General features: G+C 53.2%; 1 protein-coding gene across 6 annotated transcripts in view, besides 7 other annotated features; it reads right to left on the bottom strand.

Annotated features, from left to right (window-relative positions):
• GLI2 (GLI family zinc finger 2) overlaps positions 1-24,590 on the bottom strand; it is a 256,786-nt gene that overhangs the window by 166,838 nt on the left and 65,358 nt on the right. Inside the window, exon 1 of one of the 6 annotated variants that reach the window (XM_011510971.3) lies at positions 5,254-5,367. The exons of the other annotated variants lie outside the window; for them this stretch is intronic. The gene's annotated coding sequence lies outside the window, so the exon portion shown is untranslated. Of the gene's footprint in view, positions 1-5,253; positions 5,368-24,590 lie in introns of those variants that run through there. 6 annotated transcript variants of the gene reach the window in all.
• Positions 87-894: an enhancer, noted in NCBI's record as "H3K27ac-H3K4me1 hESC enhancer chr2:121582497-121583304 (GRCh37/hg19 assembly coordinates)". NCBI's record gives its function as "activates a minimal SCP1, AML or CMV promoter by ChIP-STARR-seq in naive H9 embryonic stem cells {active_cell/tissue: H9 hESC(naive)}" and the evidence as "EXISTENCE:reporter gene assay evidence [ECO:0000049][PMID:30033119]".
• Positions 895-1,702: an enhancer, noted in NCBI's record as "H3K4me1 hESC enhancer chr2:121581689-121582496 (GRCh37/hg19 assembly coordinates)". NCBI's record gives its function as "activates a minimal SCP1, AML or CMV promoter by ChIP-STARR-seq in naive H9 embryonic stem cells {active_cell/tissue: H9 hESC(naive)}" and the evidence as "EXISTENCE:reporter gene assay evidence [ECO:0000049][PMID:30033119]".
• Positions 1,703-2,510: an enhancer, noted in NCBI's record as "H3K4me1 hESC enhancer chr2:121580881-121581688 (GRCh37/hg19 assembly coordinates)". NCBI's record gives its function as "activates a minimal SCP1, AML or CMV promoter by ChIP-STARR-seq in naive H9 embryonic stem cells {active_cell/tissue: H9 hESC(naive)}" and the evidence as "EXISTENCE:reporter gene assay evidence [ECO:0000049][PMID:30033119]".
• Positions 2,003-2,214: a silencer, noted in NCBI's record as "fragment chr2:121581177-121581388 (GRCh37/hg19 assembly coordinates)". NCBI's record gives its function as "represses an EF-1alpha promoter that drives an FKBP-Casp9 reporter gene in an ReSE screen in HepG2 liver carcinoma cells {active_cell/tissue: HepG2}" and the evidence as "EXISTENCE:reporter gene assay evidence [ECO:0000049][PMID:32094911]".
• Positions 3,347-4,012: an enhancer, noted in NCBI's record as "H3K4me1 hESC enhancer chr2:121579379-121580044 (GRCh37/hg19 assembly coordinates)". NCBI's record gives its function as "activates a minimal SCP1, AML or CMV promoter by ChIP-STARR-seq in primed H9 embryonic stem cells {active_cell/tissue: H9 hESC(primed)}" and the evidence as "EXISTENCE:reporter gene assay evidence [ECO:0000049][PMID:30033119]".
• Positions 17,044-17,544: an enhancer, noted in NCBI's record as "H3K4me1 hESC enhancer chr2:121565847-121566347 (GRCh37/hg19 assembly coordinates)". NCBI's record gives its function as "activates a minimal SCP1, AML or CMV promoter by ChIP-STARR-seq in primed H9 embryonic stem cells {active_cell/tissue: H9 hESC(primed)}" and the evidence as "EXISTENCE:reporter gene assay evidence [ECO:0000049][PMID:30033119]".
• Positions 20,686-21,335: an enhancer, noted in NCBI's record as "H3K27ac-H3K4me1 hESC enhancer chr2:121562057-121562706 (GRCh37/hg19 assembly coordinates)". NCBI's record gives its function as "activates a minimal SCP1, AML or CMV promoter by ChIP-STARR-seq in naive H9 embryonic stem cells {active_cell/tissue: H9 hESC(naive)}" and the evidence as "EXISTENCE:reporter gene assay evidence [ECO:0000049][PMID:30033119]".

The raw sequence follows: 24,590 nt of genomic DNA, 5'->3' as shown, positions 1-24,590 counted from the left end.
GGGCAGGGGTAAGACTTGTCAGAAGACACCCACAGGGATCTGATGTCTGCAGGAAGCACCAGGAGGGGGACATGGAGGGAGGGCTGTCATCAAGGCAGCTTTCCTGGAAGGAGCAGGCAAAGGACAGGCATCTGGGCAGAAGGAGCTTACAGCCAGGTGCACACTCACAGTCCGGTGCACGCTCACAGTCAGGTGCATGCTTACAGTCCAGCACACACTCACAGCCAGGTGCACACCCACAGCCAGGAGCACACTCACAGCCAGGAGCACACTCCTTACAGCTAGGCACACACTCACAGTCAGGTGCACACCCACAGCCAGGTCACACTCACAGCCAGATGCACACTCACAGCCAGGAGCACACTCCTTATAGCCAGGTGCACTCACAGCTAGGCGCACACAGTCCAGCACACACTCACAGCCAGGCGCATTCACAGCCAGTTGCACACTCCTCACAGCCAAGCACACACTCACAGCCAGGTGAGGTTGTTTTAATGTGAGGGCAGTGAGTGGCTGCACAGGTGGACAGGGCCAGGCCTTCCTTGGGCTTTATCATGTATTTGTAAAACCTGAGTGATAAATGGGCTCCTTAAACAGGAAATGCATTCTTTCAGATTCTAAGTACTTGCTTCAATTCTCCCAAAACTCCCAAATCATGGCAGTACCAATGGCTATAAGAAATATCATGGGGGCCAGGCACAATGGCTCACACCTGTAATCCCAGCACTTTGGGAAGGGGACCACTTGAGGTCAGGAGTTCGAGACCAGCCTGGGCAACAAGTTGAAACCCTGTCTCTATAAAAAATACAAAAATAAGCCAGGTGTGATGGCAGGCACCTGTAGTCCCAGCTACTTGGGAGGGTGAGGTGGGAGGATTGCTTGAGCCCGGGTGGTCGAGGCTACAGTGGGCCACGATTGTGTCACCGCACTCCAGCCTGAGCAACTGAGCGATAACCTGTCTCAAGACAAAACAACAACAACAACAACAAAGAAATGCCATGGGGACATCCTTTGTCAGGTGTGTCACTGACAAGGGAGTTCAGGTCCTCATGTCCCACTTGGTTGGAACATCAGGCTGTGGGACACCTTATCTCAAAGCAAGGCCCTCAGGACAGGCTTACATCCTCAAAGACCAGCTGTGTCATTTGGGGTAAATGACTTGCCCTCTCTGACCTCCTCAGAGTCAGTTTGACAGGTGCTGGTGTAGACCCAAAGGGGGCCCAAAGGGGCTTACAGCCAGAGATGGAGCAGGGGGCAGTGGCTAATGACAAGCACCTGGAGGGACACTCTGGAGCCGCCATTCTGCCATCTCTGAGCCCCAGCGCTCGTGAACGTAAGAGCCAAAGCTCAGAGGGTGGGCCTGAGGATCAGCAGCTTCCCGGGGTGGCGAGGGACAATCACCTGTATCAGGGTGGGGGCCCACACCCCTGTAAGGGGGAAGGCTGCTGCCAGAGCACCACTCCACACAGTCCCCCTGGCCAAGGGGCAAACTCGTAACAGTCAAGGTCAACACAGCGAGTAAATTTGTTGCTGCCTCCCTCTTCCTCCCTCTCTATCCCCCTACTTACCTTCCCCATCCAACAGCCTTCACAGGGTCTTTTTCTCCTCCACCAGCTACGTGATGTGGGGTAAGTGACTTAGCTTCTCCGAACCTGGGTTCCACTGGTGCTTTAGCTGCTATACTGCCTCCCACTGCTACAAAGTCATCCCAACGGAATCCCCCCAAGATATGAACGTTTAGATCTCCAGAGCAGACGAATCAGAAAAACCTGGTTCTTTCTTTGTTAAATAAAGTTAATTCACCATAGAATTCCATTAATTAATGAACTGCCTTTATGCCCATAAAATATGAATAATTTTGGTCCATGCATGGTTTTACAGGAATACGGCAAATTACACAGTGACGTGGAATGGCAGGGCCACCAGGAATGTGAACCCTTTTGTGGGTGCAGAAAGGAAACCCCTCCCTTGGCCTGCATGGTACTGCGCCTTCGCCTAGGCCTATCGGAATCCCACACGGCTTCACTTCCGCACATGCCACAAGCTCCCAGGGAGTGGCTCCATCTGCCCAGAGACATCCCCGGGACTCCACCCTGAGGCCCAGCTCTCCTCTCCACAGCCCACAGCCGGGAGATCTTCCCATAAGAGAATCAGGGAAGGATTCCGATCCCTGCCTTCCAATGCTAGGCATTCCATAGATGTCCCCAGGCTACCCACTTCTGTGTGCTCCCCACATCCCACAGCAAAAATGCTATAAGAGGGCAGATCAGAAAGAATGTCACATCACTCTCTCATCCTCTCCCACTAGCAGCTCCAGCCCGAATGCTCTGTGGTGTTAAAGCACACTTCAGCGTGTACTGGGCGAGTGATGTCCCTCTCTGCCTCCTCCACACCTGCCCAGGGACTGGAACCTGCACCCAGAAATGTGGGTTTACTTAATGATGGGGGGGATTTCTCCCCCAGCCCCACACACAACTCCAGTCCCTTCCCCCCACTGTATGGCTAAATTTATAGATTTGGGATTGCTGTAAATTATAATGTAATTATATCACACCGGGGGCAGCTTCCCACGGCAGAAATTAAAAAGCAATTCAGGTAAATGATCTTTAGCTACAGTGGAGCGTCCCTGCAGAACTCATTAAGTCCGGGACCAAACGGCATACCAAAGACGGTGTGCGGCCGCTGCATGTCAAACACAGCCTCGCCTGGGAAACACACAGCCGGGTGGCGGGGGGTGCAGGGGGTGGGAGCAGGTTCCCTGTTGGGATGTCCTTCATCCACCTCTCACATCCACCTCTGTGCACACCTGTCCAGGTGTCTCCTCCAATGCCCCCTCAGCCTCCCAGTCCTAGACCACTCCTGCAAGATTCCCCTTAGAGAAGGAAACTCAAGGTTGCCTGAGGAAGAGCTAGGGTAAGGGGCAGAAGATGGGTTCAGAGTGTACTGAAAATAAAATCAGATGGGAAATTTGCCATTTGGGTTGCATTCGTACCATTTCCTCTGAAGCTTTGAATTTCAAAAGCCCAGGGAGTTACTTTTGTGTGTTTTGTTGTTGTATTTTAACGTCCTTAATTGAACCTTCCATTGGAAGGGAAGTATGGCATGGAAAGAAAGAACTGGAAAGAAACATACTAACATGTGAGTGAGGGTCATCCTTGGGAGGTGGAATCAGGGAAGAACATAATGATATGTTCATTGGGCTTTTCCACAGTCATCACATTTTCAATCACTTTAATAATCAGAAAAATAGTAAACAGGTGATTTGCGGAGGCATTTCCATTTGCTATCCTTGTGACCTTCAGCCACATGCAAAGGGGTGGAATGGGGACAGCACCATCTCTCTTGGTATTAATTGTGTCAAGTTCATGCAAGGACCCTGTGAGGGTCAGGATTCAGGGAACACAAAGGTTCTGGAGCCTTAGGGCCCATCGGGCTGTTTCCTAACACGCTTCTGAAAAGGTCATTTTGTCCCTGTCCCTTGAGCTGGACCCGCTGTGCAGGGCACTATGCCCATAGCACACTGCTGGGTCCAGGGACCACAAGAAGGCTGCTCTAACTCCAGAGACACTTTGTTGAGTTTATCACCTTCCAGACACTGTTCAGTGCTTCGCTGATAACAGCTCACTCAACCCTTGTAACAATCCTTGCACCCGAAAGGATGCTGCACAGACAAGAACTCCAAGGCCACAAGAGTTCACAGCCTTGCTCTAGGTCTCGTCCAGCTATCACTGGCATAGCAGGAACATGAACTCGGCCCACCGCCCGGTCTTAGCCACCACAGCCTCACCTCCATGTCAGAGGTGTGGAACACAGCAAAGGCCAGTTGACAAGCAGCCTGGTGGCATCCCCAGTGCCACTTTCTCCCGGCCCCCGTGGAGTCAAAGGCAAACAGGAACACATAGTGGGGGCCTCGGGTGGCAGCCCAGCCCAGGGGAAAGGAGGCTCGGTGTGACCCACCCCACTGCCATCCAGCTGGGCGGCCCTGGTGAAGAGCCTCAGCATCCCCATCTGTAAAATGGGGTTGCACCTGCCTCTGGGGGTCGCAGCACAGGCTTAGGCAACCTCGTAAAGCACTGGTTGGGGCAAAAGGGAAAAGAGGGTCTTTCTGAGTCAATGTAATAGTCCCCAAGTCTATGCACAGGCACCTCCCCTCTGTTTATTAGAAAGACGAGAGGGTGAGGAAGGGCAGTGGACCAGGCTTACTGGTCACCAGGTGTCCCACTGAGAGTGCAGGTCCCCTCCCCAGGGCCCACCAGGCTCTCTCTTCCTCATCCTCACGTTTGATGAGGCTAGGCCAGGAGCTGGTTTACAAGCCCATCCGAGGATTTGACAGTCTCGGCCAGAATGAGACCAAACTCCCTCCTCAATGCTGAGCTACCCTTCTCTGTCGCCCATAAATGTCCGCCGGATCTGCTATTTCTTTCACAGTAGAAGTTCACCCAGTGTTCTGCTCAGCTGAGCCATGGGCCCATCCCTAATTTGGACATTTTTCTCCCAACATCCAGTCAAATAGGAAAACAGATCGCACACCAGGCCTTTGCTTGTCCTAGTAAACTCTATCCATGAAGCCTAGGGGCCAAGAACCCTCCTGGCGCATCTGCACCTTTGCAACTCGAGAGAACCTCCCCCGTACAGAGGCCCCAGGAAACACTGTCCCCATCAGGTCCTGGTGGCTGCGAGCTCAGCCGCCCACGCAAGACAGGCTGCCAGTCAGGGAGGAGCAGATCATCCCAGGCTTAGTGTTCTGGGCCCTGAAAACACTTTTTGCATTTCCTCGAGGAGGTGGGTGGGTCGGCCTTGGCAAGGCATCTGAAACCACCGGGAGGCCACACACTAGTTACTGAGTCGGCACATGGCAAGCCCTTCGAAACGCCTCCTGGTCACAGACAGATGAGAAAACATGTTCTTAAGCCACCTCAGCAAACTGCTCCTCTGGCCACTCAAGACTGCACCCCAAGTGGCATAGAGAAACCCTGGAAGATGCAGTGTGGCCCACATCTGCCTGCTCCGTGGCCACTGGAACACTTGAGTGTTTGTTTAAAGAAGTCAGTCCCCTTCCCACTAGAAAAAAAGCTACCCTCTCCAGCGCTCACTCTTTCCTTCTCCACTGAAGTTTTTGCCACAGCAGAAGGCTAACTCTCACAAAGAGAAGAAACACAGACACACAGGGTGTGCACACACGTCCACACACTGGCGTGGACAGCAGCCGTCCCCGCAGGGTGTCCGGAGCCCACACATCCACAGCCAGCCTACCTGGGGGTTGCTGGGGCAGGGTCCCAGGCCAGGAGCCCACCCCCGGAGTGCCTCAAGGCAGCTCTCCGCCTCCTCCTGCCACCAGCTTCTTTGCCGCCAGCATCAGCCTCTGACGTTACTGCCTGGAGAGGGGGGAACTAATGCTCACCAGCTGGCTTGGTGATTTAACCCTCTCGGCTTCCAGGGAACTCCGGCGTCCAGCTGGATGAAAGTGCACAGTCCCCCTAACAGGGGCCCCTGAGCAAATACGAGGGCGACAGCTGAGAGTTTAGACTCGGCAAGAAAGCAAAGCCTGGGATGGCTGAGAGGAGGAGAAATTGGCCCCCAAACCCACCTTCGCTCCACTGTCCTGATTTTAAGGGAGCCAGAGAGAACTATCTTAGCTCAGAGAAAACCAGACAGAGGGCAAAAGGGACCAGCCTGGACCTTTCCTTCACTTGCCTTCATCAGCCTCAGTCTTTCTAAGGGTGGATGCCTCAGTAGATGCTGCTGGAGGTTTCCTCCAGCAAAGCAGCCAACCTTCCCCAGGTTCCCATGGCCTTGGCGGCTGGCCATCCTGCTGCCTGTGCTCGTATTCTGTTCTCTGGGCCCCACTTTTCTGCCTAGTGAACCCGTATTCATCCCTCAAGACCCAGCTCAGGCTGGGTCTGGCCTCCTCCAAGAAGTCTTCCCTGCCTCTCTTCCCCCAGCAGCAGGATGAAGTATCTGGAAATGACTTCTCTTGGAGTCGTTACCACACTAAGATGCTGTCCTTGCACTGATCAGTCCTTCTTCTTAGCTGGTGAGCTCCCTGGGGGCTTGGCCAGTGGGGTATTTGCCCCAGCATAACGGACTGGCACAGTAACTGGTAAATGCCTGCAAGCAGATGAATAAACTGCCTGTGGCAAAGTCCTTCAGATTTCTGGTTCTTGAGAACAAGGCTCAGGTTATAGAATTCTCTGTGCCTGCCATTGGCTTTCAGCTGCTAAAGGAGGAATGGCAAAGGAAGATTAAAAACGAGGGTGGATAGAAAATACAAAAACCGGTGGGGTGCAGTGACTCACGCCTGCAATCCCAGCACTTTAGGAGGCTGAGGCGGGCAGATCACCTGAGGTCAGGAGTTCGAGACCAGCCTGGTCAACATGGCAAAACCCCGTCTCTACTAAAAATATTAAAAATAGCCAGGCATGGTGGCAGACGCCTGTAATCTCAGCTACTTGGGAGGCTGAGGCAGGAAAATTGCCTGAACCTGGGAGGCGGAGGTTGCAGTGAGCCAAGATCACACCATTGCACTCCAGCTTGGACAACAGAGTGACTCCATCTCAAAAAAAAAAAAAAAAAAAATCTCTATTAGTGGCACTCTGTCACTCTGAATATCTACTATCAGTACTTTTAAAGTGCAACACAAACCTCACCCATCTGGAGGTCACTCACTCCTAAAAGGCAACTCTACCAGCTGCAGCCAGGAACCCAACAAGAGCCAAGAAGCCCCTGAGCCCCTAAACCTACATCTCAGAGGCTTTGCACTAAGAGTGTATGATAAAAGCCCCCTAGGCCCTTATTCAGTGCGTCTGGATTCTTGGCTTAGAAACTATTCTAACAAAATGATATGTTTCCCAGCACGTAACCTAGAAGTGGGTATCAGTAAAAGAGGGCGGGGGGCTGCGGCTGCTTCAGATAAGCAGGTTATCAGCATAAGGTGGGGGAGGCTCAGAAGGATTCAAGTTCAAATCCTGGCTCAAACCACTTACTAGCCGGGTGGCCCTGGTAACATGCTAACCAGTAGGCCTTTCGTAAACATCTAAATGCCTTTTGAATGAAACAGAATTGACTACTGAATTTGGCCTTGAAGGAGCCTTGGGATTTGGCAGGGCACAGGGCCTGGGCGGAGACACTGGGGGACTGGAGAGTCCCTGGAGAGACACGCCTGGGGCCCAGACTCACTCGGAATATTATCAAGACTCAGGAGTGATTCGTGTTGGGAGTGGGGTTTGGGGAGGAGGGGCAGGGAGAGACGCACTCTTGCTTCCTTCCAGTAGTGCCCAGCACCTACTCGGTAAGGACTTAGCCAATGCCAGTGCCTGGCCCAGCTCGGCCTTGTGTGGTTCAGTCCTTCCTGGCTCTTGGCTTTGTCTGCACTAAATGCACCCAGACTAGGCCCAGCCAGTTCAAAGGGTCGGTGCACACCATTTATCTCTGTCTCAGGCCACTGGCACGTCCACACTCCTTCCCAGGGGCTGATTAGAGAAGCAGATGCTACTTTCTTCTTGGAGGCTTCTTCTTGGATGGCAAACAAGAGCCCTAAATGTACCCACTGGCTGTCCTGGTGTTAGACTTCACCCTCCACACCCCTGCCCTGCAGGCTTGGAAGAGGCACTGCCACCCCTCGGGGATGAAAGCGGGGCTCCTTGGAGCTCTCCAGCTCCTCCCACCACCTCTCTGCAAGGCCCCAGTGTTCAGGCAGCTGTGAACCTCAACCAGATGCAGGCACAGGGCCACAGGGCCCTTGAACCAAGGGCCCTGGAAAAGCACAGGCAAGAGTGGAGCACGGGGTTTAGAAACAGGATCCCATCAAATCCCATGTGAGGCCCTGGGCAAACCAGGGGACCCTTCTGGGCCTCATGTGTAATGGCAGGACATGGAGGCCTCAGGAAGCTGTCCTCAGAAGGTCCCGTGCGGATCCATCCCCTCAGCCCTGCCACATGGTTCTCAGGCCGGCCGGGTCTCTTAGGTTTGCTCCATACGAGCGAGTGGGTGAGGACGCTACGCCCGCAAAGGAGTCTGGAGCGGGGCCAGGTGATGTGGGATGGGTGGGGAGGGGCACTGTGTACACAGCCTGGGACATCCAGCACCAGGCAGGCCAGTGGATGAGCAGTTGGAGCTGATGAGACAGATATAGGGGTCTGGGCAGAGACAGCTGAGAGGGTCTTGCTACCCAGGTGCCCCCGCGATGAGTTTCCAGTGACAAGAGAAGAGCACTCAGGACAAAGCCTGGGACCTTCACCTGAGGGAAAAGGGGCAGGCAGGAGAACACAAGGGGAGCTTAGAAGCCAGGGAAGGAAAGGGCTGAGGCGGAGCGGTGATGAGACTGTAAGAGGAGGAGGCAGGAGATCCCCCGATGGTCCACAGCGAGCTCATCAGCGGGGCCAATGGGGTGAAGTGAGGGGGCCTGTCATGATGGGCATGTGATGGAAGGGGTGACAGGTGGGCAGTGAGCATGGCCTGCTCCTTCAGGGCACAAGCGCAGCCAGACTGCGGGGCTGGGAGCTGGGGGAGAGACCCCACGGAGGCAGTGGGGGTGGCTTCATACCGAGGCCACTTCGCCAAGCTGACATTACGCACTTCCCTGTGTGGTTCCGGGTGAGGGCTGGCCACAGCAGAAATCTATGTGGGATTAGGAGGAAGGATGGCATAGAGCAGCGGTCCTCTCAAGAGATGGGCAAAGTCACATTTTCATAATAATCCTAAAACCTCATTTGTCTTCCTCGCTCATTGTCTCTGTATTTTCCAGTGTAGCTTTGGAAGATCTGGACTTCTAATTTGGAAGATGTGGGCTTCTAATTCTGAATGACTGATGCACGGTTATACAAAATAACGCATGGGTAAAAAAATATCCATTCAAAGTGCAAGACAGACCCATGGATTTTAACCAACAGCATGGGAAGGCCTTTGATCTGTTTCAGATTCCATAATGTCGTGTTTTGGTGCAGCATCAAAGAACATCCAAATTAGGCGAAAAGGCTTTTAAAATACCCTCCTCTTTTCTATCTCTAGATCTGTATTAGACTGGATTTCCTTCATATATTTTAACCAAAACAACATAGTGCAACAGACTCAATGCAGAAGTAGACATGAGAATTTAGCTGTCTTCCATTAAGACAGAAATTAAGGATATTTGCAGAAGTGTAATCCTACTCTTCTTACTTTTTTTTTTAATTTTGGAGAAGCTCTTTTCATAAATATAATAGTTGTATCATTGTTATTTTCAAATGAATTTGAAGACAAAATATTTTAAATAGTTCTCATTTTTTTAAGTTTCAAACAAGGTAAATATCAATAGATATAACCCACATTAAAAAAGCTCTTTGGGGCCGGGCGCCGTGGCTTATGCCTGTAATCCCAGCACTTTGGGAGGCCTAGATGGGCCGATCACTTGAGGTCAGGAGTTTGAGACCAGCCTGGCCAACATGGCAAAACCCCGTCTCTACAAAAATACAAAAATTAGCCGGGCATGATGGCACGCACCTGTAATCCCAGCTACTCAGGAGGCTGAGGCAGGAGAATCACCTGAACCCGGGAGGCGGAGGTTGCAGTGAACTGAGATCGCACCACTGCACTGCACTCCAGTCTGGGCGACACAGCGAGACTCAGTCTCAAAAAAAAAAAAAAAAGCTCTTTGGGGTCCTCAGTAATTTTTAAGTGTACAGGGATCTGTGGACCAAAAGGTTTGGAACTGCTACTGTAGGATCCCAGAGGCTCCCTCAGTCCCCAAACATCATCACTGATCTGTGGGGCAAAGAGGGTTGGAGCCAGCTCTTTCTCCCATAGAGCCAGGAGTGGATATAGTTCCAAGGGGGAGGGTCATACAACCCACCTCCAACCCCATGTGCATCCACCTATCCATCATGAAGCTGGAAGTACAGGAAGGCAGGCGTGAACTCTAACCATCCTGGTGGGTTCCAGCTTGTCCTTGTTCTCCCCCACGTCACACCTAACACCCCCTCAGATCGCCAATGCCACTGACCTACAATGACTTCAGCCCAGCACCAGAGGCAGAGACCGTGGCTTTGTAGAGATATCACTGCTCCCACGACTGGGCAGGAGCTGATCCTATCACCACCCTGGTTCCAAGTCTCTCACGGTGATTCTACTCCACTGATCGGACTCTAACTGGTATGGGGAGGGCATTTGGGTAGCCCTCCCAGGGGTAGAAAAGCAGGGGAAGGCACTCTGGAAGCAGGGAGCACCGTCAGAGGTGCGCAGGCACAGAGGCTAGAGAGGTGGGCCAGGGGGCACGTGACCACAGAGCTCAGGCTCAATCCCGTGGTACTTGGGAGCCACAGCAAGACGGCTGAGCCACACACACGGCAGCACAGTCCCTCTATCGGTGGAGGGAGGGGGCTGGCGGGGCAGGCAATGCTGTCTGCATGGTAGCAAGTCAGCTTTTACTCTCACTTCCGCCCCCAACTTTTGGGCAGAATCGTCTGCAGCCCACAGGTGATTTGCAGCTCCTGTTACAGATGGGTTGTGGCGCCATAAAGGCTGAGGTGCTTTCTCTCCCCGGCTTCACTGTGTTTTTTTATGAGTAAACACTTCCCGATAAAGACTTACTGTCTGCAGAGACCCCTTAATACCCCAAAGGTAAGGGTTTAAGTGGCCTGAAAACTGCCGTTACTTATCTTTACAGCGGTCAGCAAGAGCCTGCTCAATGGCAGAAACTTCCATTTCACTGTATGTATTTTCAATGACTGGTTATAGATCAGGCTCATCCCTGGGGCTCAGGGTCTGGGGTCTCCTCCATTCTAAAAGGCTTAGCTGGGAGAACCATCGACCTCTCCCTGTCTCAGGCCCGTGGACGCTGGCATCAACAGGACAGGACAGGACAGGACACTGGCCCTTGTCTTTGAGGATACACTCAGGGGATCTCCAGGACCATCACGCCCATTTCTGACCTCATCCTCCAAGAGGCAGCCTCTGTCCTGCCCTCTACCCCAATGGTCCCGAAGCTTTTTGGCACCAGGGACCAGTTTCATGGAAGACAATTTTTCCAGGGACCAATGCAGCGGGGGCGGGGGGTGGGGCGGGCGGGGGCAGGAATCCCAAAACTGTTCCACCTCAGGTGCATCAGGCATTAGATTCTCATAAGGAGCACGCAACCTAGATCCCTCAAATGCACAGTTCACAATAGGGTTCTTGCTCCTGTGAGAATGTAATGCCGCTGCTGATCTGACAGAAGGTGCGGCTCAGGTGGTAATGCTCTTGCCTGCTGCTCACCTCCCGCTATGCGGCCTGGTTCACAACAGGGCATGGACTGGTGCCAGTCTGTAGCCGGAGGATGGGACCCCTGCTCCACCCCACCCAACACTGCTCTCAGCATGAAATCTGATCAACTCATTCCCAGTGAGGCACTGATATCTGACAACAGCCAGGTGATCTGCCTAGAAGTATCCATTTTACCACACTCACACACCTTTCAGCCATCAGCATTCATGTTTAACCACAAAATCATACAGACACAGAAAAGGCTTCCTAAGCCCCCAGAAATCATGGCGATCAGCACTTACCACCCCCATCTCTGTAGGGCAGATCCTGTTGATTCCCACTCAAATCCCGGTGCCCTTACCCCTTTGGTGCACACATCCTTTCCAACCACCAGCACCGTGGTTAACTGAGGGTTTTCTGTCTCCAAAGCCCACTTTGCCCAGCTGTGCAACAGGTCTGGAGTGCAAAAGGAACCCTCAGTGGGGCACTGCCAGCAATTGGTGTTTAGAGCTGCTTCCTTTCTCTGGGATGGGATAACCATGCCAGCTCCCAGAGTCCCCCCAGGGATGAAGCTCCAGTTGTTCTCGGGGGCAGCTGACTCTCTTAGCCTCCCTTTATGGGTGCTTTCCTCCCGTCTCACCTCACCACTCCCTTCCCTACAACTCCAAATAAACCAGGTATACCAGAATCCTTCTCTTAAGAGCCTGCTTCTAAGAATGATAACTAAGACACCATAAGTTGAAGTAACCTTAGAAAATGCATCTTCCCCTCAAATCAGGGGCACAGACTTCCCTTGGATGGTGGGGAAGCTGAACATGACCTTCTCAGGACAAAGTAGCCCACTAGGCTGGCACCATCTTCCCTACTTGTCTTGGGGACAAGACTGCATGCAAGAATGGCAAGAGATGGAGGAGAAGTCAGCAGTGAGGGGCCAGGGTGGTGGTGGGGGACCTGGGGATCTGGGGCCAGCTGCAGCTGCATGTACAAGAACATTGTCAGGAGAATGGCCTGGCAGACAAGTGTGGTAGCACCCATCGCCCCGGGCAGTCACGCAGCTGCAAAGTCCTTGCACGAGCAGGACTCAGAGTTTCAATCGACACCTGGAGCTTGGCTCTCCCTCTCCCAAGACTCAACGCAGCTGAGGGGATCAGGCTGTTCCTCTGTGCGCAGCTGGGCCATTCTGGGATGAGGATGCTCAAGGGCACGTGGCAGCCATCACGTGGACTGCATGTCCATGGGCACCCACGCCATCCCCCACCTCCTCCGGGAAAAGATTTCAAAGGGGGTTCTTGCCTTCCCTTCTTCCCCAAAGCAATGCAGCTCTTAGAACCACAGCACAGGGAAACATTTTCTCTGGTTATTTTGTTTTGGTGTGGTTTTTAAGTCTTCAGAAGCCTCCAATTCCTCCTTGGGAACAGATGCACAAAAGAAGCATGTTTCACCACCCCGGCCCTGCCAGGACATTGTCCATATTAGTGGTGCTCAGGCGCTGGCCAGGAGCGCCAACACTTTACATCCTGTGTGTGGCATGCTGAAAATTCTTCGGGACCCTTTCACAGCCATCGTCTGGGGACCTCGCAGTGCTGGGGGTCCATCTCCCAACCCAGACCAGCGCTCTTTCCCTACCCAGGAAAGGCTCCACAACATGGCCAGGTGTCCCCGCCTTCTTCAGTGGGGACACACAGAAAGAAGAGAAGACTCTCGCCCTCACTGCTGTGAAGCATCCCCCATGTGGAAGAGGGAGAACAGAGCTCACACACTGGCAGGATTGGAGGGGGCACTCACCTGGGCCAGCACCAGAGGTTCAGAGACCTGAAAAACACAGCCCAGGAGAAAAAGTTCCAGGAAAAGAGAGGTCAGAGCCCGCATGCCAAGGACGGCAACAGGAGAAAGGGGCTCCCCGGCAGCCTGAATGACTAGGAAAGGTGATGTCCCCAGACAGAGACCATGGGTTCCACCATGACACGCCAGGGTGTGAGGGTAGGGAGAGGCCAGACATGCCCCCAGAAGGCCACTCTGGGAGTCATGACCCCAGTGATGGAAAGAAGGGCCTCAGGTCCCCCATGGTGGCAGCACGGTCAGTCCTTCGAAAACCCCTGTGAGGATGACCCTGTGGATCGTAATCCGGCCTGCGTCTCAGCTTCAGCCCTGACCACGGCCCTAGGAGGGAAGTCCTCATCATTCCCCCGTGAAAGACAAGGATGCACGGGAACCGCCACAGCTCCCACAAGTGGGGCCAGGACCCAGGGCATCTGCCTGCACAAGGGCCCATCCAGCGGCTCCTGGGGACACCGGACTCCCAACGCAGTGAGGGGACCGGGCCGCGACATGTGTGTGTGGCCCTGTCCTGCTGTACAGGGGTGACCTGAACCCGCTCTTCAGCCTGCAGCTGGCTTCGGGATGAGTTTCTTCTCCTCCCACAGCAGAGGAAGTGGTTTTCTATTGCGCCCTAACCAGCACATTTGAGAGAGACAGTGGCTTCAACAACCCTGGGAAAAGTGTTCCTGTCTCAAGGAAGGCTGAGGCCGCCGATCCCCCATCTCTCCCTGCCAGAATACCCATCTTACATCCTGTTCCGCACAGTCATTGATTTGGGTACTTGCCTGTGTCTCCCAACTAGAATGTCAGTTCCAGAGAAGTGGACCTTGCCTGTGTGTTCGCTGCTGCCACCCAGGGACTACACTGCCCGGCGCATAGTAGGGCCCCAGTAAACACTTGTGGAAAAAAGGAAGAGAAGGAAAGAGGGAGGGAAGGAGGGAGGGAGGGAGGAAAAAGAATCTTCTGAAAAGCAGAGCTGTCCAGCAGGATTTCATTTGTGGGTATGGAATGCTTCAAATCAATCAGCAAAGAGATGTGCTGATTCTAAATGCCCCTCCCCTGCTCAAAGCCCTTCAATGGCTCCCTACTACCCCTCCATCCAAATTCCTCTCAGGGCATCCCAGGCTCCCCACAGTGATTCCAACCTCCCTTTCCAACTGCACCTCTCCTCCTACCCCTAGTATGAAGCCTCCTCTCCAGCAGGCGCTGCTCCCTGCCCTGGCATGTGCCCTGTCATCCACCCCTCGTTGAGCCTCTGCTCACCTCCACCTTCCCAGTAGCTCTCTCATTCTTTAAGGAGCCCTCCTTAGCGATGCCACCCCTGGAACTTTCTAGCATTTCCTCTCCAAGGCTCTGGTCTGGCACTTCTCAGGGAGCACTTTGTGTACCCTTATGGGGAGCTCAAAAGGACAAGTAGGGGAGGGGGACAGCACCCCTGGTACAACCCAAAGAATGAGGCTGGGGGGATAGAATGACCAGAGGACTCCTTGCTGCTTCTGAAGGGCCCAACTCTGACCCCACCATCCACCAGTGGATGTCTACAGGTGCCCAGGCCTCTCCGGGTCTCCTGCCCACTCCTCCTGCCATCTGGCTTCAGGGAGGCGGACACTGGTATTTGGCTTGACCAGCAGCACATGGGCCACCCTTCTACGCACAGCTCCAGCAGATAAGGGGGCTGACCCACCCCACTTTGCACAGGTATGCATGGGACCCCACAAAATACTACATGGCTCGGTCACAGTGGATGGTTCACAAGGGTGCATGGGACCCAGGCCTAGCCAATAAGTTGCCCCCAGGGCTTTTCCTGGAATCACCCGGAATGAGACACTCCTCCATCTGAGCTCATGGGTATCAGGCACACATCAGCAACTCCACCCTCTGGTGATCAGAGCTATCAGAATGCCAGGCCAGCGGAAAGCCAATCGAGATCACGGACAGAAAGAGACATGTCCCAGTGACGTCACTGGAGCCTCAAGCTTAGCTAGTCCTAAAAGCAAATCTAACCCTGAACTTCTGAGTTACGGAGGACCAGAACGCCACGTAGCTTCAGAGAGCCAGAGCGGGCTTCTGTTGCTTGCAGCAAGTGTCCTAACTCAGTTTCTATCGAGAAGATCTGTCCCTTCAGGCCAAGGCACTGCTGTCTCCCTGTATCCTCATCCCTTCCAAGCGCCCCTATTAGCACATCCCATAAGCCTGGGAGCCTGCCCATCCTCTATATCCTGAGGGGTAGCACAGGGCCAGGGAGAGGAGAGAGGCTGTTGGCTGGGCCTCCCTGAGGACAGGATGAGGCCATGAGGTAGAGGGAGGAGGGACAGCAATGGAAGGGACTAAATGAGGGCTCCAGGCCAGGACAGGGGAGGTGGGCAGGTGTGCCAGACAGCCCCAGCCCACACCATGCCAAAGCTGGTGAACGCTGCCACTTCCGAGGGCTATAGTCTGTCTGGGGCTTGCCCACTGCAGATGTTGCTCTCAACACAGAAGACGGCCCAGCACACCTGGACTGGGAACACCACTCCCAGAAATCTCCCTACCAAGATCTGGTAGATACTCACCGCGTAGCACTGGCAAGACCATCCCCCTCCTTGGACCTCAATGGACCAAATGGCCCCTGAAGCCACTCTGGCTCAGAAGCCTGGCCCCCTCCAGCTGTGGGCAGCAAGGCTGTGAGGCCATCCCTGAGACCTGGCTCCCCCCAGCAGAGTAGTTAATTTCCAGCAGCACAGGGCCCCCGCCCCTGGGGCTCATCCACCTGGAGTTGGGGCCAGCAGGGTCACCCTGAAATGCTCACAGGGCATCTCTCTCAGCACCTGCCTGACCGCAGCCCCCACCACTGCAGAGCCTGCCACCAGCCACAGTCAATGATTCAGGTTCCAAGGAGGATGTAATCTGGTGATAAAGGAGTGGAAGTTAGCTGGAGGCTGGTGCTCTTTCTCGGTGATTTACTCAGCTCCCCTCCAAACTCGCACCCTTAATGTAATTATTTACTTTGTCATTAAACATCCCCCTTCCACTTCAGTTATTTTTAGAGCTTCTGGGGCCTATAGATTAGATGGGAAGGCTGCTCATTGGCCAGGGGAAGCAGGGTCCTCCCTGAGGGGTAGCGGTGCACAAGGCACTTGGAGATCCCAGGGGCTGTGAGCAGCAGCACGACCAGGCCCCCATGCCGCCACAGGCGCCCTCCCTCCCCCGCACTTCCTTCCTCTTTTCCTTCCTTCTATCCTTTCTTTCTCCTCCCTCCCTTCTTTTTTAAACAGAGATGTAATTCACATACCATAAAATGCACCCTTGTAAAGTCCACAATTCAGTGGTTTTTAGTACATTCACAGAGCTGTTGCAACCATCACCACTATCTAATTACAGAACATTTTCATCCCTCCAAAAAGAAACCCCAAGCCCATAGCAATCATTCCCCATTCCCTCTTCTCCCAGCCCCTGGCACCTCCTCATCTCCCTTCTGTCTCTATGGATTTGTCATTCTAGACAATTCATGGGAATGGAATCCTACAATATTTGTGCTTTTATGCCCGGCTTCTTTCTCTTAGCATATGTTTGCGAGGTTCATTTGTGTATACCATTGATTAGCACTTCACTCCTTTTTATGACTCAGTAATATTCCATTGTACATACATACCACGTTCTGCTCATCCATTCATTAGCGGATGGATGCTTGGGTCATTTCCATTTTGGGACTATCGTAACTAACATTGCTATAAACACCCATATACAAAGTTTTGTGTGCACATAGGTTTTCAATTATCGGAGGTAGTTCTTGAAGAGTGGAACTGGTGGGTCCTCCCTCCCTGATGACCTGGAGCTAGAAAACCCAGGGGGCCAGGCATGTGGGCGCTGCTGAGAACTATGGGCAGCTGGGAAGCTCCACAGTGCCCGAGCCACTGAAGACACAAACGGCCTCAGGTGCTTTCAGGCAAGGGTTGCCACTATCCCATGAGAATAACAACAGCAGCCCGCTGCCCACATGCCAGGCCACCCTGCACTACAGAGTTGGCTGAGGGGAGCCTTGTCACCCCCATTTCACAGACAGACAAGGCAAGGGTGGCCCCTGCTCCTACACCTAGATGTGAACTCACACTTGTCTGTCCTCTAAGTGAAGGTGCCTGTTGCTTTTCTTGTCACCAACATGGCGTAGAGGGCCATTGACTCCAGCGTGGAAACCTCACAGTCTGGGGACTGGCAACAGGACAAAGATCTCGCTGACATCGAGCCTCAGCAACTCACCCAGTCAGCAAAGTGTGTCGTTGGCAAGTTTTTCTTCCCTCCCTGACCCTCTTCTCTCCTGGGTGAGCTTCCCCAGGCACAGGTACTCCAGTGCTCAGAAGCCTGGCCCTCTCCAGCTGATCCAGGAGCCACTGGGGAGAGGTCACAGGAGGATGATGGACAACAGGGGCCTTTGCACAAACCCAGAGGTAAGGTGACAGCAAGGGGGTAAACACCTAATGGTGGGATTGCAGCACTCGGCGGGGGCAGGGACTTCCCCACCCTGGCCACCATCACACCACACAGAGACCACATGCTTGGCCCTGCAAGGGGCTTCTCCTGGACGTCCTTCCATTTCTAGAATTGCAGGGATAATAGAAGGTGCAAAGCGGTGTCCACTGCCCGGCTCCATACCAAACCCAAACTTCCTCTCAAATATCACTGCTGAAAACGAGATGGAAAGTCAGACGGCGGATGAGGCCCTGCTCTGCCCAGAGGCCTGGCTGTCTGGTGCCAGGGTTTCAAGCTTCACAATCCCCCAAAACACAAAGCAGAGGTCCACGCCCTCTGACAGCAGGGCCAGCCAGGACATATTCAAGGGGAAAGAGCCAAGGGCGGCTTCTCAAGACAGAGCCCCTCTGGCTCCCTCCCCACCCTGCCCACCCAGAAGGAGAAGAAGCCAGATGCTCAGGGTGGCGGGGGCGGGGAGGTGTGTGGGGGGGTGGTCCAAGCAAGCCGTGCACACAGGGCCTGGCTGAGTTACCAGCGTCCACGTGTGGCTGTGAGCAGAGGGAGGACACAGACCCTAGGAGGGGCCACTAGACTCGGCCTCAGATGTGAGCTTGTGCCAGGATCGGGGAGGGAAGGGAGCCCTTTGCCAAGGGGCTGACAAAACCAGCCTCATTTGCCAGTGCTTCCCGCTCAGCTCAGCCTCTCCAGCCATTCTCAGACCCCAGGACCTTTGCCCATGCTGTTTCTCAGGCTAGAGTGTGGTTCCTCCTTGCACATCACGGGTGAACTGCTAACTCATTATAGAGACTCAGCTCCTTCATTTGCTCTCTCAAATATTTTTAAGGAACGTATGCGCTACCCTCAGAAAACAGTTCTTGAATTAAGAATCATAATAAGAGCAAGAACCATAATACTAACAGCTGAACTACCATGTACAGAATGCCAACTGTGTGCCAGGGACCCTCTAAGCACTGGAGTCTCATTATTGGTCAGCCTAGCCCTCCAAAGATACGCATTTTGGCCTGCGTTTAAAATGAGGACACTGGGGTTCGGATCAGCACAGGATACCCAACCGAGAAGGGGCAGGGCAAGGGTTCAAACCTCACCTGTCCAAGCCCAGGCCCCATCCCCCAGACCATGCTGGTGTCCTGGGGCTGATGGCTCCCTGCATCGTCCCCAGGGGGCTTGCCCAAGCCCTGCCACACTTTGCAATCACACTTTGGTGACCCCCTCCCCAGCCCCCTGATCTGAGTGCACAGTGGCTTTCTGTGGGACTGACTGAGCAGCCAGGTCACAGGGCTGTACACAGCAGTGTTACCAGGTCCTACTGAGACCACACTCCTTCCCTAATGTTTTCCTGGATCACTGCAGGCAGCAGACAATGCCCACATCAGCATCGTAACTGGGGTGTCTGGTTTCTCCATGGGGGAACCACAAGCTTTTGGGGACAGGGCCATGGCCCCTGCTTCTTAAATGCATCTTCCCCCACTTCCTATCCCCCTCTGGTGTCCACACAGAGCTTCATAGAGGACAGCAGCTTCAAATGGCGCTTTCCCTCCTTACCCCTCAATGTCCATTCAAAGAGACTTCAGTGGAGCCTCCGGGACCTCGGCCTGCACCCTGGATCAGCTATGCACCCACCTGGGTGCCAGCCATCTCTGCGCCTCCCCGCAGGGCAACAGGAGCCTTGTCCTTCAGACCCCATATGCCAGGCAGGAGACATATGGACTCACGCAGGAGACATACAGACTGAGCTGATGGCGCCCAGTCCTCCCTCCCCACACTCCCAGGGGGCCACTCTGCCCCTCCTCCTCCCACCAGGGCCCACCCACCCTTTCCTCTTTCCACCTGGTGGAACCCCGAATGTCCCCAGGCTCAGACACTGCCTCCCCCGTGAAGCCCTATGGGCAGGATTCGTCACCATCTGCTGAGTGTCACCTCTAACTGGAAGCTCCTAGAAGGCAGAGGCAACGTCCCTGTCATCACCACCTCTCTGGTCCACAGTTCGGGACCATCTGTAGGATGTGCACATGAATGCAGGGAACCCAGAGGCACCCAGGCCCGGGTGCCCCACAGCCCCCACCAAATGCAGGGCTTCACTTCATTATCCTCAAAATGGTCCCAAGATCAGAGGCGGTGAGACCTGGCCACAAACATAAAATAAATTATCTCTTTCCCCCCCTCCCAAGTAATGATAAATGGTTCTATTAGCAATCCAGATTGTTAAACTCTGATATAACAGAATGCAGGAAACAGGGGCCCATCCATTCTCCCTCCGGCGCATACTGAGTTGTAAATAGGTTATTTTGTGTGTAAATAACACATTAAAACACAGCATTAGCTGTGTCTTTTGATAGAGAGGAAATTGTTACAAATAAATAATTCCGGACAGGAATGTAAAATAAGCCAGATTTAATAGTGCATGCCTGGCACAGCCGTGTTAAACATGACTAAAATGATAAACCCCAGAATATACTAATAGTAAACTATGCACTGACATCAAAGTAATGAGGCTGTATTTTTACCAAGCTTTAGAAATGCTAAAATTAGTTTTGACAGAACCAAACGTCAGAAAAATGTTTCCAACATAAACACAGTCACTTGGGAAGTTGGGGTTTGGGCCAGGAGGAGGGCCAGGTTGAGGGACAGCTGTGTCCCATGTGATGGAATGTTCCTGCGGAATTGGTTTCCAGTCCAAGTAATATCACTAGGCAACCCTCTGCATTTTGTGTCTCTGGACCTCAGTTTCCACATCTGTAAAATGAATGGATTCAAACTAGAGGATTTCAAAAGCTTCTTCCAGTTCTGTAAGTGGAAATGACTTTGAAGCTTCACCCAACTCTGCATCAGCTGAACATTCACAGTGAACCGTGAGAAATGAAGGAGTGCCGGCCAGGCATGGCCAAGGCCCCAGGGAGCACACAGGGGCAGGAGCCACCGGCACTGTCCTCTGACACTGTCATTCCAGGCAGGTAGGGTTCACCAGCTTATAGGAACCAGCCAGAAAACAAGGTGACACAGAGGTGACGTGAAACATGTGTGCCGGTCTCTGCAACCAAGGGGAGCGACAGGCAGGGGCCAGGAGAGCCTCCCAGAGTCCAGACCCCGGGCTGCGGCCAGAAGCAGAGAACAAACCTGTTGTGCTTGGGGAAATGGGGCGGCCAGGCTGATTCTGGACGGCAGCCGTTCTGAGTGGCAGTGAGTGTGAGGCCAGGACAGGCCAGAGGAATGCTCGGGTTTCCGTTATGTGGACATTTACTTCCTCCGTGCCCACATGCTCTGCTAGCCACCCTGCAGACCTTGTCTCGCTTAGTTCCATGGTAGCCAGAAGTAGTGACCACTACCATCGCCACTGCACGAATCTCAGAGAAGTTCCTTGATTTGCCCAGAAGACACGGCTGGTAAGCAGAGGGTAAGAAGAGCCCAGATCTGCCTGACCCCAAGCCATGCTCTTCCCACTAGACTCTGCTGGGAGCAGGAAGAAGTCTCCAACCTCATGCTCCCGCCCCAGGCGTCCAACCTTGCAGTACACTCCTGAACCATCTGAAAAACATCTGGGTGGTCAGCCTGCACCCCGCTTCCTGGGTGAACCAGGCTGTCAGGGGAACTCAGCTCTGCTCTCTGGACAAAGTCTGAGGGGAACTGGTTGTTCTGGATGGCTGGGCCATAAAACAAGCCCAGCAGCATCAACAGCCGTCCTGAAAATCACTTAAATAAGAGTAATTGCCCACTTAGTCACACCTGGGTGCATCAGGTCCAAGGCAAAAGTGTGTGGCCCCAGCAGAGAAACTCGGATAAGCCAGGGAAGGTGGCCCACTCAGCTCCCTGCTGGCCATGGGGCCTGGCAGGGGGGCCAAAGACCACGGCCAGCCTCAACTGACCCTTATACCCAGAGACAGCTGACCACACCAGCCCACCGGGAACACCTCTGGCATGATAGCATCAGATTCCATAATCCCCTATGGGATGTCTGCTGCAAGCGGGGATGTGGGGACAGTGGTGAACAAGCAATGCCCTGCCCACAAGGACATCCTGGAGGCACAGAAAAAGACAGAGTGCAAAGACACCAGGGACTTGGAGGTACGTACCAATGGAGGGGTATTGGACAGATTCCTAGGTGTGGTAAGGCAGGTGGTGGGAGGGGATTTTCTAGCTCTGGCCAACACAATGAAAATGAGTCGTCTAAATATTCTGCTATTTGCACAGCATTCCCATATAGACATGCATGCCTCGCCACTAAGCAAAACTGTGCCTCAGAAAAACTTTCCAAGAACCCAGCAGGGCCAATGAAGAAGATAGGAGGGCTGTCAGTATGAGTAGGTAGCACACACGCCTCCTGGAACACTGGAGCGCTCTGCTGAAAGTCGTCTAGTGCTTGACCCTAGCTATGCTAGCCTGGTCACAGCCCCGCCAGTACTACCAGCTGCAAACCGTAGTCTCCCCCCCTGAGACTCTTGAATACTCCAAGGGATCTTGTTCATGCCTTGGACGGACTGCGCCCAATGACCTGTGAAGCGTATTAAAAATACATATGCCCAGGCCCCAGCCCAGGGGCTGCCCTGGACCCTGCACTTACATAGTGATTGTCACGAGAGTCTAAGGCTTGGCCAGCTTTAGTAACCTTTGGTCTGGTCTGGTCTCCAGCGTGCTGGGGAAAAGACCAAGTCAGAGAGGCCAGGAGCCCACTCGGGACAGACACCCAGGACAGGCCCTGGGAGCAAAGCAAAGTGGGACAGGCACCCAGGTCTGATTTCCAGCCCAGGGCACCCACCACTCTCAAGTAGGAAGTCACCAGAAACCTGGGTTTCCCACCTGCTGTCAGCCTCAACGGGTCAGCAGGCAAGGGTTACCAGTGAAAGGGAAACTTTCTAAGTCAGGCAGAGTATGCAGATCTAGAAAAGGAAAACTGGTAGGAAGAATAGCAATAGTTCATAAAGCAAATACTCAACTTGGACCTCACACAAGGCCCTCTGTGCCCAACACTTTTCGAAGCACTTCCCATGTGCTAACTCAAGGAATGCTCACAACCAAGATCATGCCCATTTTATAGATGAGAAAAGTGAGGCACGGACCTGCCTAAGGTCAACAGAACTGGGACTTAACCAGGCAGCCTGGTTCCAGAGCCTGGGCTGCTTCTCACTACTTCCTTAGCACTGCCTGCACTAAGAGAGGCAGTGTTACAGCTACTATCCAGGAAGTGCCCTGGCAGGCCTGTGTAAGCACATCAGAAGTCTCCTGTAATCTCTGCACTGCAGCTCTGTGTCTAACTCCCATTTTATGTATGGGAAGACCCACCCTACCTCATGTAGTCAGAACATGCGGTTCTCCAACTTAGGAGTGTATCAGAATCACCAAGAGGGTTTGTGTAAACACAGCTTGCTGGGCTCTACCCCCACAGACTCAGATTCAGTAGGTCTAAGGTGGGGCTCAAGAATTAGCATTTCTAACAATTCCCAGGGGATGCTGATGTTGCTGGTGCGGCCCACACTGGGAGGACACCTGGCCCAGCACACAGTGGATGCTTCGTGGAAGAGGTGGGCGTTGGCCATTGCAGGTACATCCCAGGATGTCTAAAGCCTGTCTGGCTGCTTGATTCCAGAAACTAGCAAAACTCATGAGATCAGACCCAGCTCTGGGTTTCATGGCTCCACCTTTCATATTATCCCAGAGGCTCTGAATAGTAGTCCCTGGTGCTCAGTGAGGCACACAGAGAGGTTCAGAAATATTTTTGAAAGAGAACCCACAGTGGAGGAGGAAAATACAACAGCATTTGGACAGTTTCAGTATAAAGCAATGAGAAACATCTGAATCAAATTGCTTTTAAAATTACACCATTTTAGAAGTTAAAGGAGGGGAAAACCTCTGGGCCAAAATGTGTTTTAAAAGATTTATGGCCTCCAAAGTGTTAGCACAACAGCAAAAGAGACTGGGAAAGAACTCGCCCTCCCAGGCTTCTGCCGTCTGCTCTTATGAACTGCTCCAGCCAGATGATTAAACTAACCTTTCCCCAGTCTGACCACAGGGCTGCTTTTTCCTTTGGTCCAGCTCGGTCCAGCCCAGCCATGCTCTGCTCTGCAAATATATTTCTCACGCATATTCTGGCACAGGGAAATAGTGACTCTAAGTGGAAACACCCAGCCCCCAACAGGTCCGACCTCATGGACTCCTAGGGGAAGTCAGGCAACAGAGGCCAGTCGAGGTAGGTGACTTTGCAAATAACTCACGGCCCCAGACCTCAAATAACTGGCTGTTTGGAAGAGAGCAGGTGCCATCAGGGCCTGGGATGGATGAGGGAACTGAGGCATGAAGACACATGAGGAGACCTTACCAAGGCTGGACACTCACCCTGGGGTAGCAGTAGGACCTAAATTAAGGCCCAAGTCTAACAGCAATCTAAATAACAATCTAAAAGCAAATACCTGAAAGAGACTCTCACCATGTGAGAGGCAGGAGCCCCAAGCCCCGGGCCCAGCTCGTGGTTGAAGCAGCTGGTAGCCTTGGGCAAGCCCCATGCCCAAATGGGCCTCAGTCTCATCTACAATACGGGAGGTACTGAAGGAGAGGCTCTGACCACACCAGCCTGGCATCCAGGAGCTCCTGCCTGGGTTTTCCGAGCTTTCCGGCTGGGGCCTCCCACCCCCTTCATGTCCTCTCTCCTCACTCTGAACCTTCACTTTCTATCTCATTGCTAGGGGTGCTTGAGATCAATTGCACCTTCTTTTTATCCCACTTAATATTAGAATACAAGCATGTTCCCACCCTGTAATTGAAAAGTCTTAATTAACATTTTCAGTGGCTACATCGTGTTCCATTCAAGATGTTCCACAGATGAACCAATCCCCTATCAATGAACAGGTAGGCTGTTTTCAATTTTTCACAGATATAAAGAACTCAGAAGTGAAATCCCAAGGTGGCTCACGCCTGTAATCCCAGCACTTTGGGAGGCCAGGGCAGGCGGATCACTTGAGGTCAGGAATTCGAGACCAGCCTGGCTAACATGGTGAAACCCCATCTCTACTAAAAATACAAAAATTAGCCGGGCATGGTGGTGGGCACCTGTAATCCCAGCTACTCAGAAGGCTGAAGCAGGAGAATGGCTTGAACCCAGGAGG

This window comes from Homo sapiens, chromosome 2 (genome assembly GCF_000001405.40).
Source record: "Homo sapiens chromosome 2, GRCh38.p14 Primary Assembly".
Classification (NCBI taxonomy): domain Eukaryota; kingdom Metazoa; phylum Chordata; class Mammalia; order Primates; family Hominidae; genus Homo; species Homo sapiens.
This window is presented reverse-complemented; position numbering and strand designations above follow the sequence as displayed.